The following is a 15,882-nucleotide window of genomic DNA, read 5'->3' as shown; positions in this document are numbered from 1 at the left end:
GCCGGGCGCTGATGTCAGCAACCTCGCCCCCTCCGGTAGGAAGCTGTACCCATTAGTTTCACTGAACTCTTCGGCTCTCACATCAAATGACCCTGTGATGATTCAGAGGGAAAAAAAGCCCACTGGCCAAACAAAGGGATGGCAGAGATGTGCAAATTATTTCTGTTCATCTTTGAGCCCAGGAGAACCCCCACGGAATGGAACCAAAATGTTCCCTTCAGCTTTAACAAGGCAATATTCACTTTTGCTCTCACTTTAAAGTCCTTTTAAGAAACAGAAGAGCAACCGATGCCACAGGCCTGGAGACAGAAGTTGGAAGGTTTGGAACTTGCTCTCCTTTTTAAGACTCCTCTCTCTCTCTTTTTTTTTTTTTTTTGAAACAGGGTCTTGCTTTGTCATTCAGGCTGGAGTGCAGTGGCGCACTCTTGGTTCACTGCAACCTCTGCCTCCCAGGGTCAAGCAATTCTCCTGCCTCAGCCTCCCCAGTAGCTGGGATTATAGGTGCCCGCCACCACGCCCAGCTAATTTTTGTATTTTTAGTGTAGACAGGGTATCAGCATGTTGGCCAGGCTGGTCTCCAACTCCTGACCTCAGGTGATCCGCCCGCCTCGGCCTCCCAAAGTGTTGGGATTACAGGTGTTAGCCACCAAACCTGGCCAAAGACCCCTCCCTCTTCTTGTCTGGGGTCCCAGAACATCCTGGAATGCCCCATCGGGAAAGTATGACTTACACTTCTGTCGTTATAAATCCGGTGAGCTCCGAGAGGAAGAGGAAGAGGATGAAGAGGCAGCAGCAGATGGAGACTGGAAGAAACAACAGAAATGCAAACTGTTAAGGGTGGTGGGCACTGACGAAGGGAGACCAGCCTAGAGGGAAGAGGAAAGAGGCCCCAGGACAAGGGTGTGGGGCTGTGCCCACAGACCCTCCAGAGCCCCTTCTGACTCGAGCCTCAATATGAAGCAGCCCCACCCCCTGCCTTTGGGGTACTGGTCTGGCCTCCAGGTGTGGATCAACCTGCCGACATGAGCAATCCTCCTGGGGCTGGCCCCGCTTCCTTCCAGGAGAGCTCTTTAATGCAAAGGCCAGCCAAAAGTAGAGGCTGCAAACCGGTGGCCCACAAATGTGTTCTGTTTGGCTCGAGTGACAACATATTTCACAATCTGGAGTCCACCTTGAACAGTCAGCAGATTTCACATAAAAGGCCAGCATTCTGGCTTCTCCAGAACATCTCACCCTTGTTCCCACGGAGGGTCGGAGCCCATGAGTTTGCCACAGGCCCCACCACTCCCTTCTGCCTCTCTGGTTCTGAGGCTGAGGCAGAGTCTGTGGCTGTTTCTCACCACCCTCTGTGGTGCCATCCACACGGTGCCCCTGTCCTTAGAAGGGGCTATAGACAGCGGTGCTTCAAGAGAAGAAATAATTCTTTATGGAAGTGAAGAATGGTCCAATATGCTTATTATTTCTTTACTTTTGAGACTCTGTTGCCCAGGCTGGAGTGCAGTGGCGCAATCTCGGCTCACTGCAACTTCCACCTCCTGGGTTCAAACGATTCTTCTGCCTCAGCCTCCCAAGTAGCTGGGATTACAGGTGCCTGCTACGACACCCAGCTAATTTTTTTATTTTTAGTAGAGACGGGGTTTCACCATGTTGGCCGGGCTGGTCTTGAACTCCTGATCTCAAGTGAACCGCCCGCCTCAGCCTCCCAAAGTGCTGGGATTACAGGTGTGAGCCACTACACCCGGCCGGTCCAATATGTTTAAAATGCAGAGTGTAGAACAGAGTTCTGGGGTCGGCCATGTCTGTTGTCTTTCTCTCATCTGCCTGGCACCTAAAGACACTGGGGTTTGTGGACCTTGGAGTCACTCCTTGGGGGCAGGACATAACAAGTGCCCCAGAGTCCGGCCCTCAACTCCACTCACCAGCCCCATCTCCTGACACTCCCCACAATGTCTAACCACCCACCCACAGAGAGCTGCATGCTATTCCCTAAATATGCCTTTCATTTCTGTTCCTTTGCCTGGACTCATCATCCCTCCTCCTCCATGGTTATCCTCTCTGCTTGCTGAACTCCTACTCATCCTCCCAGGCCCGACTCACATGTCCCTTTTGATGGGAAGCTTCCCCTACTCCCAGAGGTGGAGCTGGTCACTCTTTTGTCTGTGTTCCCAGCCTCTGCTTGAACATGTCCCACATTTTATCGGTTATCTGTGGCCGTTTCTCCCACTAGACTGATATCCAGAAAGACAAATACTCTGGAGTTCCAGTGCCTGGCCTGGGGCTGGGGCCTAACAGGTATTGTGTACGGCAGAGAGTCAGCTCCCAGGATACAAAATGAGGGCTGAATACGCCACACCTGAGTTTATCCCAGAGGCACTTAGTGGGCAAGAGCTCACTAAGGACTGCGCTGGGGCCCCACTGCTCACCTGCTGCATGGCCCTAAGTGAGTTACTTAACCTCTTTGTGCCTCCACTTCCTCACCTGTAAATGGCAGCAATGGTAGTACCTGCCTTATAGGGCTTCTCTGAGGATCTCAGCAACACAAGGATTGAGCTTGAAACAGAGCCCGGCAGGTAATAATTACCTGAGCATCAGCTCATGAGTAGGACTTACATCAGAGAGATGTGGGAAGGGTTTGGTGATCTGGGGAAAGTGATTCAACACATTGATTGACCCTTAGTTTCCTGCAAAGAAGACTTCCCAATCCCTCTTGCTGATTCTGCTGCATTCTCCGCAGCCTGCACCTGGACTGGCAGAGCCAGCGTCACGGATGTGACAGCCAGTTATCTCTATTATTTTTCTTAGTCTGTATCTATTTACATATATCGATCTGCCTATCTACCTATCTAAAACAAACAGCCAAACATTGATCGATTGATTGATCTATCTTCAAAGCAAATAGCCATCTATCTGTCTTCAAAACAAACAGCCAAAGATGCATTCCGAGGGAAGGGAGAAGAAAGAGAGTGTTTGCTGGGCACTTACTATGTGCCCTGTTGTGACTGCATTAACAGATGTCCTGTCACTTCACACTCCCACCACCTTGAGGGGGGCGGTGCCCATGTTAAGGGTGTGGAAATGGAGGCACAGTGAGACAAGGAGGCTGGCCCATGGCTTCACTGTGTGGTGGCAGGAGAGGCAGGACTGGAAGCCATATGTTTTAGAGGCAAAGCCCTGAGAAAAGGAACCTCAAGAACTTAGGCTCCGAGTGAAGGGCAGGATGTCCCCAGACTGCTCACTGAGTCTCTCCAACCACCCTGAGACATGGGGGATACTAGAATTACTCCCAATTTCTCCCAAACTTTGAAAAAGTTGGCCAGGCGCGGTGGCTCATGCCTGTAACCCCAGCACTTTGGGAGGCCGAGGCGGGCGGATCACGAAGTCAAGAGTTCGAGACCAGCCTGACCAACACGGTGAAACCCCGTCCCTACTAAAAATACAAAAATTAGCCAGGTGTTGTGGCAGGCGCCTGTAGTCCCAGCTACTCCAGAGGCTGAGGCAGGAGAATCACTTGAACCCAGGAGGCAGAGGTTGCAGTGAGCCGAGATCGTGCCACTGCACTCCAGCCTGGGTAAAAGAGCAAGACTCCGTCTCAAAAAAAAAAAAAAAAAAGAAAAAGTTGTACCGGGGAAGCATTCAAAGGTTTTACTTAAAAAAAAAAAAAAAAAAAAAAAAGTATCATCAGCACCATAAGACAGTGAGAAAAAAAAATTTTTTAAAGAAAAAAATAGTTAACAATGCGTATTATAAAAAAAAAAAAATCCAGCTGTATAAAAAAAGTGAGTCTGTCTCTCCTGATCTGCAGCCCCCGATTCCCTGTTACAGTTTCATGTGTCCATCCATGGACATTTAAATATATATATATATATATACACACACACACACACACACACACACACACATATATATATATATATATATATATATATATATATATATCCCCCTAAGTGAACAGCAGCGTAATGGGCACACTCTTTTCCACCGTGCTTTGCTCACTCAGCAATCTATGTCGAAACAGGTTCCACATCAGTTTACTGAGTGGCCGTGTTTTCCTTCATTTTCGAACGGCAGAGAGATAAATTTCAAATTGTTTTCTCCAGCTGCTGAACAAATCCACTGGAAGAGATCAGCTATCAATCCAAATTTCCTGGCTCCTGTTCTTCCCTTTCTCACCCGCAAACTGAGGCTATTAAACCTCTTGGAAAACTGAGCAGGCAAAACATCCTTGCTTTGGAAGCTTGCAACTTTCTGACCAGGATCATATAGGACCCACATTTCAGAATCTTTTACACCCTCCTCCCCCAAGCCCCGACAACCCATTGGATGCTGTAATGATGAACAGGCACAAAATAGGGAGTGTTGCCGGGCATGGTGGCTCATGCCTATAATCCCAGCACTTTGGGAGGCCGAGGCAGACGGATCACTTGAGGTCAGGAGTTTGAGAACAGCCTGGCCAACACGGTGAAAACCCATCTCTACTAAAAATACAAAAATTAGCCAGGTGCGGTGGCAGGCGCCTGTAATCCCAACCACTTGGGAGGCTGAGACAGGAGAACCACTTGAATCCGAGAGGCGGAGGTTGTAGTGAGCCGAGATCACACCATTGCACTTCAGGCTGGGCAACAAGAGTGAAATTCTGTCTCAAAAAAAACGAAACAAAACAGGATGTGTTCATGAAGGTCAGTGCTAACTTGGATGGGTTCAGGTCTCCTAGCTACTTTCCGTGTTCATGCTTGTAGACGTGTGTCCCAGGGTTCTAATTCTATCCACACCAGAGCACCAGAGCTGGGGGGATGGGATGGAAAGGCCTCCTGAAATCTGTGTGCTTTTTCAAGGCTCGGACTAAGCCTGGTCAGCCCAGCAGGTGGACACAATAAGTGCCAAGTCTACTCGGCAGAGACTCAAGTGGTCCAAAGGTCCCGATCACACGCATTCATGGCGTGTGTTACCCTTACCCCAGATAGAGGAGGAGGACAGAGACCAGGTCACAATGCCACTGTGGCCTCAGAGACTAGCACAGTGCCTGGCTCAGAGAAGGTATAAAATAAATATTTATTGAATGAATGAATAAAAAACACAACAGGAGGTAAAAACTATTTCAACCAGAAAGGCCTTCTGATACTGAAGGCTTGATGAAGGTTTTTCAGTCCATGTTTGGGCAAGACTCTAAGGCTCTCTAACTCCAGACTTCTTCTGAAACTGACTCAGGCATCGGACAGTAGGAATGTGACCCCAGGAGAAGGCTTGATGGTAGGAAACCTGGTACGGCCAGCCAAAGGGGGCACTGGACCTGAGACCCAAGGCTCCGAGAGGTCAAGGAATTTGTCCAAGGTCACACAGTCACGTAAGTGGAGGAGGCAACATTTAAACCCTGAGCTGTAAGTCTCCAATGCCCTGATCTTTCCTTCAGTTATTAATAGCACCCATCACAAAGTAATGAAATGGTGTGTGTCCAAGTCAGCCCGCCCTGCCCAGTCGTGTGCTCCTCAAGGACAAAGATGGAAGCCCCGTTCATCAGCACAGTCCCAGGGCTTGGCATGGCGCCTGGCCCAAGGACCTGGTTAATAAATATTTATTCACTAAATGGTAGCTAAGGGCTGGCTTCCTATGCCTCACGCCTTTCCTCTTGTGTAAGGAAATTTGCTGTCTCCTGTGCTGTGGCTGAAACTGTCTATCAGACCATGTCCCTGGAGGGCCCTTTGGCAGGACCTTGTAAGTTTCAAAAAAAAAAAAAAAAAAAAAAAACATACTCTTTAACCCAGTAATTCCTCTTCTAGGGAAGTTACCTTACAGAAATAACTGTACAAGGATACAAAAAGATATGGACAAGGATCTCCAACAAACCAGAATGGGGAATGTCTACCCTCAGGGGCTGGCCACAGGCCCCGTAGGTCAGCCAGATAACAGAATGTGACACAGCTGGAAAGAAGAATGTGGTGGCTGTTTATCCGCTGGCAGGAAAGGTGCCCAGGATGTATCAGCAGAAGAAAGGCAGGGGAAGAACAGTGTGCAGAGTATGCTCCCTTTTGTGTTTCAAACAGTGATATAGGTATATCAAAGCCTAAATAGGCCAGGTGCAGTGGCTCATGCCTGGAATCCCAGCACTTTGGGAGGCCGAGGCAGGCGGATCACTTGAGGTCAGGAGTTCGAGACCAGCCTGGCCAACATGGTGAAGCCTCGTCTCTACTAAAAATACAAAAATTAGCTTGGCATGGTGGTGGGCATCCGTAGTCCCAGCTACTCGGGGAGGCTGAGGCACAAGAATTGCTTGAACCCGGGAGGCAGAAGTTGCAGTGAACCGAGATCCCACCACTGTACTCCAGCCTGGGGGACAGAGCGAGACTCCATCTCAAAAAAAAAAAACAGCCTAAATATATTTTTTAAAACTCTAGAAAAATACACACCTGACTGTTAAACATACCAGACAAGGGAGAGACTGCAGAGATGGAGAAGAGGGAAGAGGATGGAGCCACTGGTGGACGGTAGGAATGGGGCAGGAAGCCTCATTTGATTTTTTTGGATCAGGTTCATAAACTACCAAGGCTCTTTCCTCTCATGGTCCCCTCCATATCCTTTCCTCGGGAGTCAAGGCACAAAGCTGCACAGCTTCTCAGGCCACAGGCCCTCATGTGTTGCAGGCTCCGGGAGGACAGTGAGAAGAAAAGGAGAGTCATCCATGCACTGAGGGGTTAGTACGTGCCCTGCACAAGACACATCCCGGGACACATTTAATCCCCAGATCAGGAAACTGAGGCTCAGAGAGGGGAGTGACTTGCTCAGTCACACTGCTGCTAAATGGGAGGATGAACCTTGCTCTGCCCGAACACAGAGCCTGTGTGACATGCATCCTGCCACGGGGCTGTGCTGTCCCTTCCTCAGGGCTCTCAAAGGCATCTTGCAGCTTCAACAAGCCCAGCCGGATCCCCAAGGTCCTCCCCCAACTGAGAATGGCCTGACCTGGGAGAAGTGGACTCCAATATGACCGACTGCCCGGCCCAGGACCCTGCTCAGGCAGCAGGGCTGGGACCATCAGGGGGGCAGTTCCCTCTCCCACACCAGGCACTAGGGGGGCTTGTGGGGTGCAAGGAGGCCCACCTGAGTATGAGTCGTGGCTCCATCTTCTGTGAGCTGTGAAATTTCAGCTCACCTCTCTCAGCTCATTTTCTCATTGGGAAAATGAGGCGAAAGCATCCCCTGTTTGCAAGGTGGCTTTGGTTTGTTTTTAAAACTTTTTACTGTAGAATAATCATAGATGCAAAGGTAGTACAGACAGTTCCCATACGCCCTTCACTGGGCTTCCCGTTATGTTAGCATCTTACATTTGTCAAAATGAAGAATTGAACATTAGTACAGTACCATGAACTTGGCTACGGACTTTATTTGGGCTTCACCAGTTTTCCCACAAACTCCAGATTTCTGTTCCAGGAACTGATCTGGGAGTCCACTTTGCATTTTCATCCTGGGTCCTTAGTCTCTTATCAGTGACAGTTCCTCGGTCTTTTGTGTTTTTCAAGGCCTTGCCATGTTTGAAGAGTACTGGCCAAGTATCCTATAGAATGTCCCCTGACCTGGGATTGTGAGTTTTCCTATGATTAGACTGAACTGTGGTTTTTTGGTACGATCCCATGGAGGCAAGATGCCTCCATGCATCCTATCAGGGGCTCACGATATGCACGTGGCTTATCACTGGTCATGCCAACCTTTCTCACTTGGTTCCTCACTGGCACTTGCCATATTTCCTCAGTAAAGGCCTTATTTTTCCTTCCCATTCTCTATTCTTTGAAATAGAGTTACTAAGTCCACACTCAAGAGAGGGGAATTAAACTCCACCACCTGGATGGGAGAATAGCTACATACACGTTGAGTATCCCAAATCTGAAAACCCAAAATCCTAAGTGCTCCAAAATTTGAAACGTTTTCAGTGCCAACATGTTGCTCAAAGGAAATGCTCACTGAAGCATTTTGGATTTCAGGTTTTTGGATGTGGGATGCTCAACTGATAAGTATAATGCAAATATTCTAAAATCTGATATCCAAAATCTGAGACACTTGTCCTAAGCATTTTGGATAAGAGATACTCAGCCTGTATATTATTTGGAATTCTTCTGAATGGATTTGTCTCTTCTCCCCCATTTATTGATATCAATTAGGACCCACAGAACTCTTTCTTAATTCTCTGGCTTCTAAGCCAATAATGTCATTATTTATTTTATTACTCAAACTGCTGCAGGCTGACTTTCAAGTTGGCTCCTAGGTCCTGCTGACACCAGGCACTCCAGGCTCCTCTATCTTTACCCTGCCTAGCCCTGAAATCAGCCATTTCTCCAAGGAGCCATGGTTCCTTTTATTGAAGAATGGTCTTTAGAACCCAAAGTCTGGATGAGATTGTGATTTTTTTTTTTAATGGATAAAAACATGCTTTGGTGGAAAACTCAAATCATTTTTAAGGTATAAAGAGAAAAGTAAATCTCCTTCCTACCCCTGGGCCCAATTCCTCTCCCAGGGGCAGCTACTGTTTTTTTTTAGATGGAGTCTCGCTCTTGTTGCCCAGGCTGAAGTGCAATGGTGTGATCTCGGCTCACTGCAACCTCCACCTCCCTGTTTCAAGCGATTCTCCTGCCTCAGCCTCCCGAGTAGATGGGACTACAGGCATGTACCACCATGCCTGGCTAATTTTGTATTTTTAATAGAGACGGGGTTTCAGCATGTTGGTCAGCCTGGTCTCGAACTCCTGATGTCAATTGATCCACCCGCCTTGGCCTCCCAAAGTGTTGGGATTACAGGCGTGAGCCACCGCGCCCAGCCTGGCAGCTACTCTTGACAATTTCTTTCATGTCCTTCCAGATGGTGCCTGTGCCTTGAGGGGTTACAGTGAGGATAGAGAGTAAGTGAGGAAATGCTTGAAGGGCCCCCGCAAGATGCTCAGCATTTCTTTCCTCCCTCCTGTCTTTCCTTCTTTCCTCCCTGGCCCAGATGATCTGCACAGAGAGAGCAGGCACAGGCAGTGGAGATGGGGCAGAGGGCATGGCCAGAGGTTGGCTACTCACTAATGGCCCCGGTGTACGTTGGCTGCGTAAGGTCCTTGGGCACCTTCCTGTAGATGTCAAACCTGTGGAGAGCAAATGGAACAGGAGTGAGGTGGGCACAAAGGGTGGGTCTCAAGGCAGCAGGCAGTGGTGCTGGCTTGTGTGACACATGGTTCAACAAACCATGGTTCTTCCCACAGTTTTTCTGCTCTTTCAGGACACTTTCTCCAAGATGCTTCTCTGATGGAACCCCTGCTCCCCACAACACCCTTAGATCACATCCCCTTGTCATCTCTTCTTCATAACATTTCTTTTTTTTTTTTAAACAGGGTCTCGCTCTGTCACCCAGGCTGGAGTGCAGTTGTGCAATCTTGGCTCACTGCAACCTCTGCCTCCCAGGTTCAAGTGAGTCTCGTGTCTCAGCCTCCCAAGTAGCTGGGACTACGGGCATGTGCCACCATGCCTGGCTAATTTTTGTATTTTTGGTAGAGACGGGGTTTTGCCATGTTGCCCAGGCTGGTCTCGAACTCCTAAGCTCAACCGATCTGCCCACCTTGGCCTCCCAAAGTGCTGGGATTACAGGCGTGAACCACCAGATGACCCTCCCACTCATCGGTGGGTCTTCCATCAGAGTGTAACTTCTGCGAGAGCAGGGGCCTAGTTAGGTTTTGTTCCCTGCCACGTTCCCAAACCCTAGCATGGGCCTGGTGCAGAGTAGGCACTGGATAATTATGGAATGTATGGAACCCCTGAATCGGGGGTGACTCTGACGCTAGAGGAAGCAAGGAAACGCACAGCCCTGCTCGAGTTATGTGACGATGCTGCATTCTTGCTCCACGTCACCTCTCCTCCCCCTCTTCCCTTTCCTGCCTCCTCCTGTTTCCACTCCGGCTGCACCCCCCAGCTCCTGCTGTCTGCCTCATGGAGACTCTTCTTAAGAATGCTAAGGCATGAGGTTAACAGAAAGTCCTGCCAGGAGCCCACGGTCTTAGCATCAGCTGGTGATGGCTCTGGTTCCTGTCTTGTGTGATTTCTTTCCCTCACAGAAGCAGACAGATGTCTTTCTTTCCTATGGATCCCACCAGAGCACAGGGAAATCGTGTGGTGTAGTGGGAGAATTCAGGGTTTTGGAAATCAGACAGACACAGGTTTAATTCTGGCTCTGCTTCAGCTATTTAAGAGTTAAGACCCTGGAATCAGACTACCCTGGTTCAAATCTCGGCTGGTCCTCTCGTTCACCATGTGACCTTCAGCAAACGACTTCACCTCTCGGAGCCTGTTTCCTCCTTTGTAAAAATGGGACCATTAGTACTAGACCCTGTGAGGCCACGGAAAGGAGTGAGGGAAAGAAGTGTCTGTAAAGGATGTGACGCAGAGAGCTCGCAGGGGAGGCTCCCCACACACTTGGCTTCGTTTCCTTCACTTGAACCTGCGTAGCAGACAGTTCTCCCACAGCAGAGTTTGATCGACAGAACCCTCCTTAGTCCACACGGCATCCCAGCTCTCAGACAGAACTTGACTTGCTGGAGAGGCCGGCGGCTCCAGCCCTTGGGGGTGACAGGCTGGTGTGCGGTTCCTCTTTGGTGATTGGGAAACAAGAGTATGCCCAGCTAAACCCGACGCAATGCCTTGGAAACCTTGCGTAAGGGCCGATGCTTGAATCAGTGTGCTCACCCTAATTACACGTGAAACATGCTCAGTTTCCTAAGACCTCAGGGGAGAAAAATTCCTGCGGGCTGCCAAGTTCAAAGGTACCACTTTCTCTGCCGCCTGCTTAGCTCCCAGTCACCTGTGCTTGTGCCCCTGAGGGTACTAGAAGCTGGGGCTGGGGTGTGGTCGGGAGGTTGGGGGTCTCTGCAACTCACCTGTCCATATTTACTCATATCCCTTAGTCAGAAAGTGGGGGCCGCTTTAACACTGAGAGGTGTGTGAGAGGTAAGAGCATGTGCTGTGGAATCAGATGCCTGGGCTCAACTATGACCACTACTGTACCACCCTGGGACCGTCACTTAACCTCTCTGTGCCTCAGTTTCTTTGTCTATAAAGTGGGGGCAACAACAGTAACTATCTCACAGCATGGTGGTGAGGCTCAAATGACTGAGCACATATAAAGTACTTAGGCAGAGCCTGGCACCCCAGAAATGCCACGTGGATATTTGTGGTTACTATTATTATTAACGCTTGTTTGACAAACATTTACGCAGTGCCTACTAACACACCCCCTCTTTTAGGCCCTTAGGCAAGGAGATAAAAATCAACCCTTGGCCCAGTGAGTTTGTAGTTTAGCGGTAGAGGCAAAGAAAGGGAAGGAGAAGGTAGTGGCATCCTCATCACGAGGTGCTGGATTAACTCAGGAGGGGGTACCTGACTTGGCCTGGGGTCCTCGGTGAAGCTTCCTACAGGGGGTGATGTGTGCACAGAGCAGGAGGGGGAGAAGATGGATGGGTGGAGGGAAAGAGCAGCCCAGGCAAGGAGAGGAGCAGAAGCAAAGACAGAGTAGGACCGAATCTGGGAAGCTGGGCGCTGTCCTCTCTCCGGCACAGGGTACAGCCCGATGTGCAGGGAGAGGAGGACGGAAAACTGGGGCGGGGCTGGAGGAGAGGGTCCTGAGGGCCAGGCTGTGGCTAGGGAGTCTCACACCAAGTGTCGATGGGGGCCGGCGGGCGGTCTACTGTGGGAGACTGTGAGAGGTCAGCAAATTTGGGAGGTAGGGGTGGGGAGAGGGAATGGAGAGAAAACAAACCAGCAGGCGGCCATCACCGAGCCCCAGCTGACACCTGCCAGGTAGAGATGCGGGCTCAGGAGGCCAGACCTTCTGAGTGTCCAAGAGAAGCCAAAAATGTGGAATTTTACATGGAAGTTCACCATTCTCAAATGCTGGGCCAACACTCTACAGGACAAATGAGACGCGTCTGCAGATGACATGAGGCCTGGGGCCTAGGCGGTGACCATTTGAGCGGAGAGGCCTTGCGGAGCTGGAAGAGGATGTGGTCCGCCTCGTGTCATAGGAAGGCCAGCCTGGGCCAGTGGGGAGGGCATGTGGGTTCTCCTAAGACTGGAGAAATGAGCAGCAGGAAAGGGCTGCAGCGGGAGGGGTCTCGTCCTCACTCCACCCCAACTTCGTGTTAGACCTTCAGAAAATCCCTGGCCCTTGCTGGGCCTCAGCTTCTCTGAGTATGAAATGAGGGGGTGCACAGGGGATCTAAAAGTTCCCATGCAGATTAAAGCATGACAGCCGTGTCCTGGGGCTCGATACCCCAGGTGGCTAACAGCCCAGCTTTTGTCCAGGTCACCATCAGGGACCGACAAGCAGAAACTGGGCCTCGCAGTTTAAAAAAATACAGAAACTGCTGTACACGATGGCTCTTGCCTGTAATCCCAGCACTTTGGGAGGCTGAGGTGGGAGGACTGCTTGAGAATAGGAGTTTGCGACCAGCCTGGGCAGCATAGAGAGACCTCATCTCCACAAAAAAAAATGAACAAAATTAGCTGGGCATGGTGGTGTGCGCCTGTAGTCCCAGCTAGTCAGGAGGCTGAGGTGGGAGGATCACTTGAGCCTGGGAGGTTGAGGCTGCAGTGAGCTAAGATGGTGCCAATGTACTCCAGCCTGGGTCACACAGTGAGACCCTATCTCAAAAATATACATAAAATAAAAATTAAAAAATAAAAAATATAAGAACCATTGTTTCAAAACTGGAAGTCAGAGGCTGCTCTGGGTGAGGAGGCAGCAGTGGCTCGGGGCAGAGTGTCTAAGTTCAGTCAGGGTGAGGAAGAGAGAGATAGGAGATTGTTACATACAGAGAGACTGGTCAAACATGTACATGTACAAGGATAGTGGGGCCAGGTGCCTCACTGTCAGGGAAGGGAGGTGAAAACATGGTATTATAGTGGTAATGGAAATATCAGTATGAATTAATCATTTTCAATATACCCAAACACTGAAATATGCACATGTATATATACGTATCATATATACATACATTTCCTAGCTCTTTCCATAGAGAAGATCCAGCAACAGCAACAGCCCAATAGCAGTGAGTGTAACGAGCACCCAAACCTTGGCTTCTAATCACTATTCTCTACTTAAAGCAGTCAGAGCTCCTTGGAATGGCTGATTCTAGGCTGGGCAGGAAAAATACAAGATGGGCCTGGAGCACCTTCTTATGTCAGAAACCAAGAAAGTGTTCAAAGAATGAAAAGGACATGTCAAAAGGACAAGAAGAGGCCAGACACAGTCAGTGGCTCATGCTTGTAATTCCAGCAGTTTGGGAGGCCCAGGTGGGGGGATCGCTTGAGGCCAGGAGTTCAAGAAAAGCCTGGGCAACATAACAAGACCTCATCTCTACAAACAACAACAACAAAAAACAACAACAAAAGTTGGGCGTGGTGGTGTGTGCCTATAGTCCTAGCTACTCAAGAGGCTGAGGTGGGAGGATCATTTGAATCCAGGAGTTTAATGCTATGGTGAGCCTTGCACTCCAGCCTGGGCTACAGGGTGAGGCCCTGTCTTTAAAAAAAAAAAAAAAAAAAAAAAAAACTTGGGGTTCCCACTGGCCGAAGAATAGACAATGTGAGCATCAAAATAAATAACAATCATCACAGATTATAAGCCATTGGATAAAACAGAAAGGATAAAACATACATAGAAATAAAGAAATGAACAAATCAAAACTTTGATAAAGACAGGATATTGACATACCTTCAAAGCACTTCCCCCAGAAAACGCTTATTAATTACAAAATGGAAAGAGTAACTGTGCAGTGGAGAAATTTGGCAGACATCGTCTTTTTGATGGGGGCTGGAGGGACAGGGTCTCACTGTGACCCAGGCTGGAGTGCAGTGATGTGATGACTCACTGCAGCCTCAACCTCCCAAGGCTCAGGCGATCCTCCCACCTCAGCCTCCCGAGTAGCTGGGACTACAGGGATGCACCATCATGCCTGGCTAATTTTTTAATTTTTTTGTAGGGATGGGGTTTTGCCATGTTGCCCAGGCTGGTCTTCAACTACAGGGCTCAAGCGATCTGCCCGCCTCGGCCTCCCAAAGTATTGGGATTACAGGCATGAGCCACTGTGCCTGGCCCAGGCATCATCTTAACCAGGTGAAGACAGTGGGCACCGGAAGCATGGAGACACATCGGCACCCTGTGCCTCCTGATATGCCGCACTGAGGAGGGCACAGCACCACTTCTGGGGGATCCTGCCTAAAAGGTACAGCTTCAATCTAACAATGAGAGAACATCAAACAAATCCAAAGTGAGGGGCAGTCTACAAAAAAACAAAACAAAACAAAACAAAAACTGGCTGGCATTTGTCAAGAGCACTCAGGTCATAAAGCACAAGAAAAGATGGGGAAACTGTCACAGATTGAAGGAGACTAAAGAGACATGACAACTAAATCCAATGAGATCCTGGATCAGAAAAAGGCCATCAGGGGACACCTGAAGAAAGTTGAGTACGATCTGCAGATTGGCCGGCAGCACTGTCTAATGGATTTTCCTGCTCTTAATCATGGTATTGTGATTATGTAAGATGTTAACATCTGGGGATGCTTGGGTAAAGGGCATACAGGAACTCTGTACTATTTTTGCAGTTTGGCGGAAAAGTCTGAAATTATTTCAAAACAAAAAGTTAAAAAAGTATTTCAAATGGAAATTTAAAAAAACATGAAAGACAGAGATGCCACTTAATCACACTTAGAGCATGCCTATAATCCCAGTTACTCAGGAGGCTGAGGTGGGAGAATCACTTGAGACCAGAAGATTGAGGCTACAGTGAGCTATGACGACTCCACTGTACTCCAGCCTGAGCAAAAGAGTGAGACCACCATCTCTAATAGTAATCATCATCATCATCATCACCACCACCCCACTTAGCCTGTTGTCTTCACATATGGCTGGTCCTTGTAGGCACCTGAATTTGAGGTGCTGAATTTTAGGTGCTGGTTTAACCCTGACTCCTGGGTGTCAGGCAGAGTAAGTCTTTGCTGGGCATGGGGACAGGGGTAGGGAGGCAGGCTGGGCGATGATGACGCTCTAAGAGGGAGGTGAGATTTGGACCAAAGCTACAGAAGGCAATCAAAGGAAAGAGTAAATGATGCTTAACCATAATCACTTCCATTCTATGCTGGGCACTTTGACATACATATTTGCATGTATTTCTCACAAAACCCTGGAAAATACTGATATCTCATTTTTCCAGGGAGAAAATGGAAGCTCAGAGTCACCAAGCCAGTGAGTGGCAGAGCTAGGATTCAAACCCAAGTCTGAGTCCACAGGGCATGGTCCTTCCACTGCCCGTACTCTGGGAATCACCAGTTTAGAGCTCATTTTTTGGTAAATCAGATGAAGGTCTCATGGTTTTGCTCATCTGCTTTTCCAAGGATGCTGCCCCAGAGCAGATGAGAGTCACCTGGAAGACAGGGACCAGTTCAAAATTCATTAATTCATTCAACAGCCATTTGCTAAGCACCTAATATACCAGGCAGTGTTCTAGACAGTGGGGAAATGAAAGTGATCAAGGCAGACACCACCCCATGAAGCTGCCAATCTAGCAAAGCTTCTGGCTCCTTGGGAGTGGCCACCTCAACACTACGTACTGTAATACTGACTCCATTCCCACGCCACAGAGCCACGCTGGGCAGCAGTGGTGGGGTAAAGGGAGAGCTCAAAAAGACCCTAGTTTCAGAACTGACCACAAGCCAAGTGAGTCAGCATGAATGTCACTAAGAAAATGGGTTATCAGGAGGCTGGTGAGAACCCCAGGCATGTGACAGACCAGGAAGTGAGCCGTCCTCCCTGGCTGACATTAGTCAGTCCCTTGCTGCGGTGATGTGACCAGTTGTGACCAGCTCTCCGTCA

At 49.1% G+C, this 15,882-nt stretch overlaps 1 protein-coding gene across 12 annotated transcripts in view, besides 1 other annotated feature; it reads right to left on the bottom strand.

Moving 5' to 3' along the window:
- ERGIC1 (endoplasmic reticulum-golgi intermediate compartment 1) overlaps positions 1-15,882 on the bottom strand; it is a 118,433-nt gene that overhangs the window by 54,879 nt on the left and 47,672 nt on the right. For 11 of the 12 annotated variants that reach the window (NM_001031711.3, XM_047417410.1, XM_047417408.1 and 8 more), the window contains exons 2-3: positions 9,045-9,106; positions 731-803 (exon numbers count right to left, since the gene is read on the bottom strand). In NM_001031711.3, coding sequence (NP_001026881.1) covers positions 731-803; positions 9,045-9,106 — 135 coding nt within the window. Of the gene's footprint in view, positions 1-730; positions 804-9,044; positions 9,107-15,882 lie in introns of those variants that run through there. The other variant, XM_047417411.1, reaches the window with a different exon arrangement.
- Positions 15,445-15,534: an enhancer, noted in NCBI's record as "active region_23647". NCBI's record gives its function as "activates an Ori minimal core promoter by ATAC-STARR-seq in GM12878 lymphoblastoid cells {active_cell/tissue: GM12878}" and the evidence as "EXISTENCE:reporter gene assay evidence [ECO:0000049][PMID:35858748]".

This window comes from Homo sapiens, chromosome 5 (assembly GCF_000001405.40).
Source record: "Homo sapiens chromosome 5, GRCh38.p14 Primary Assembly".
Lineage (NCBI taxonomy): Eukaryota > Metazoa > Chordata > Mammalia > Primates > Hominidae > Homo > Homo sapiens.
The sequence above is the reverse complement of the archived record's forward strand: the minus strand, read 5'-3'. Positions and strand labels throughout refer to the sequence as shown.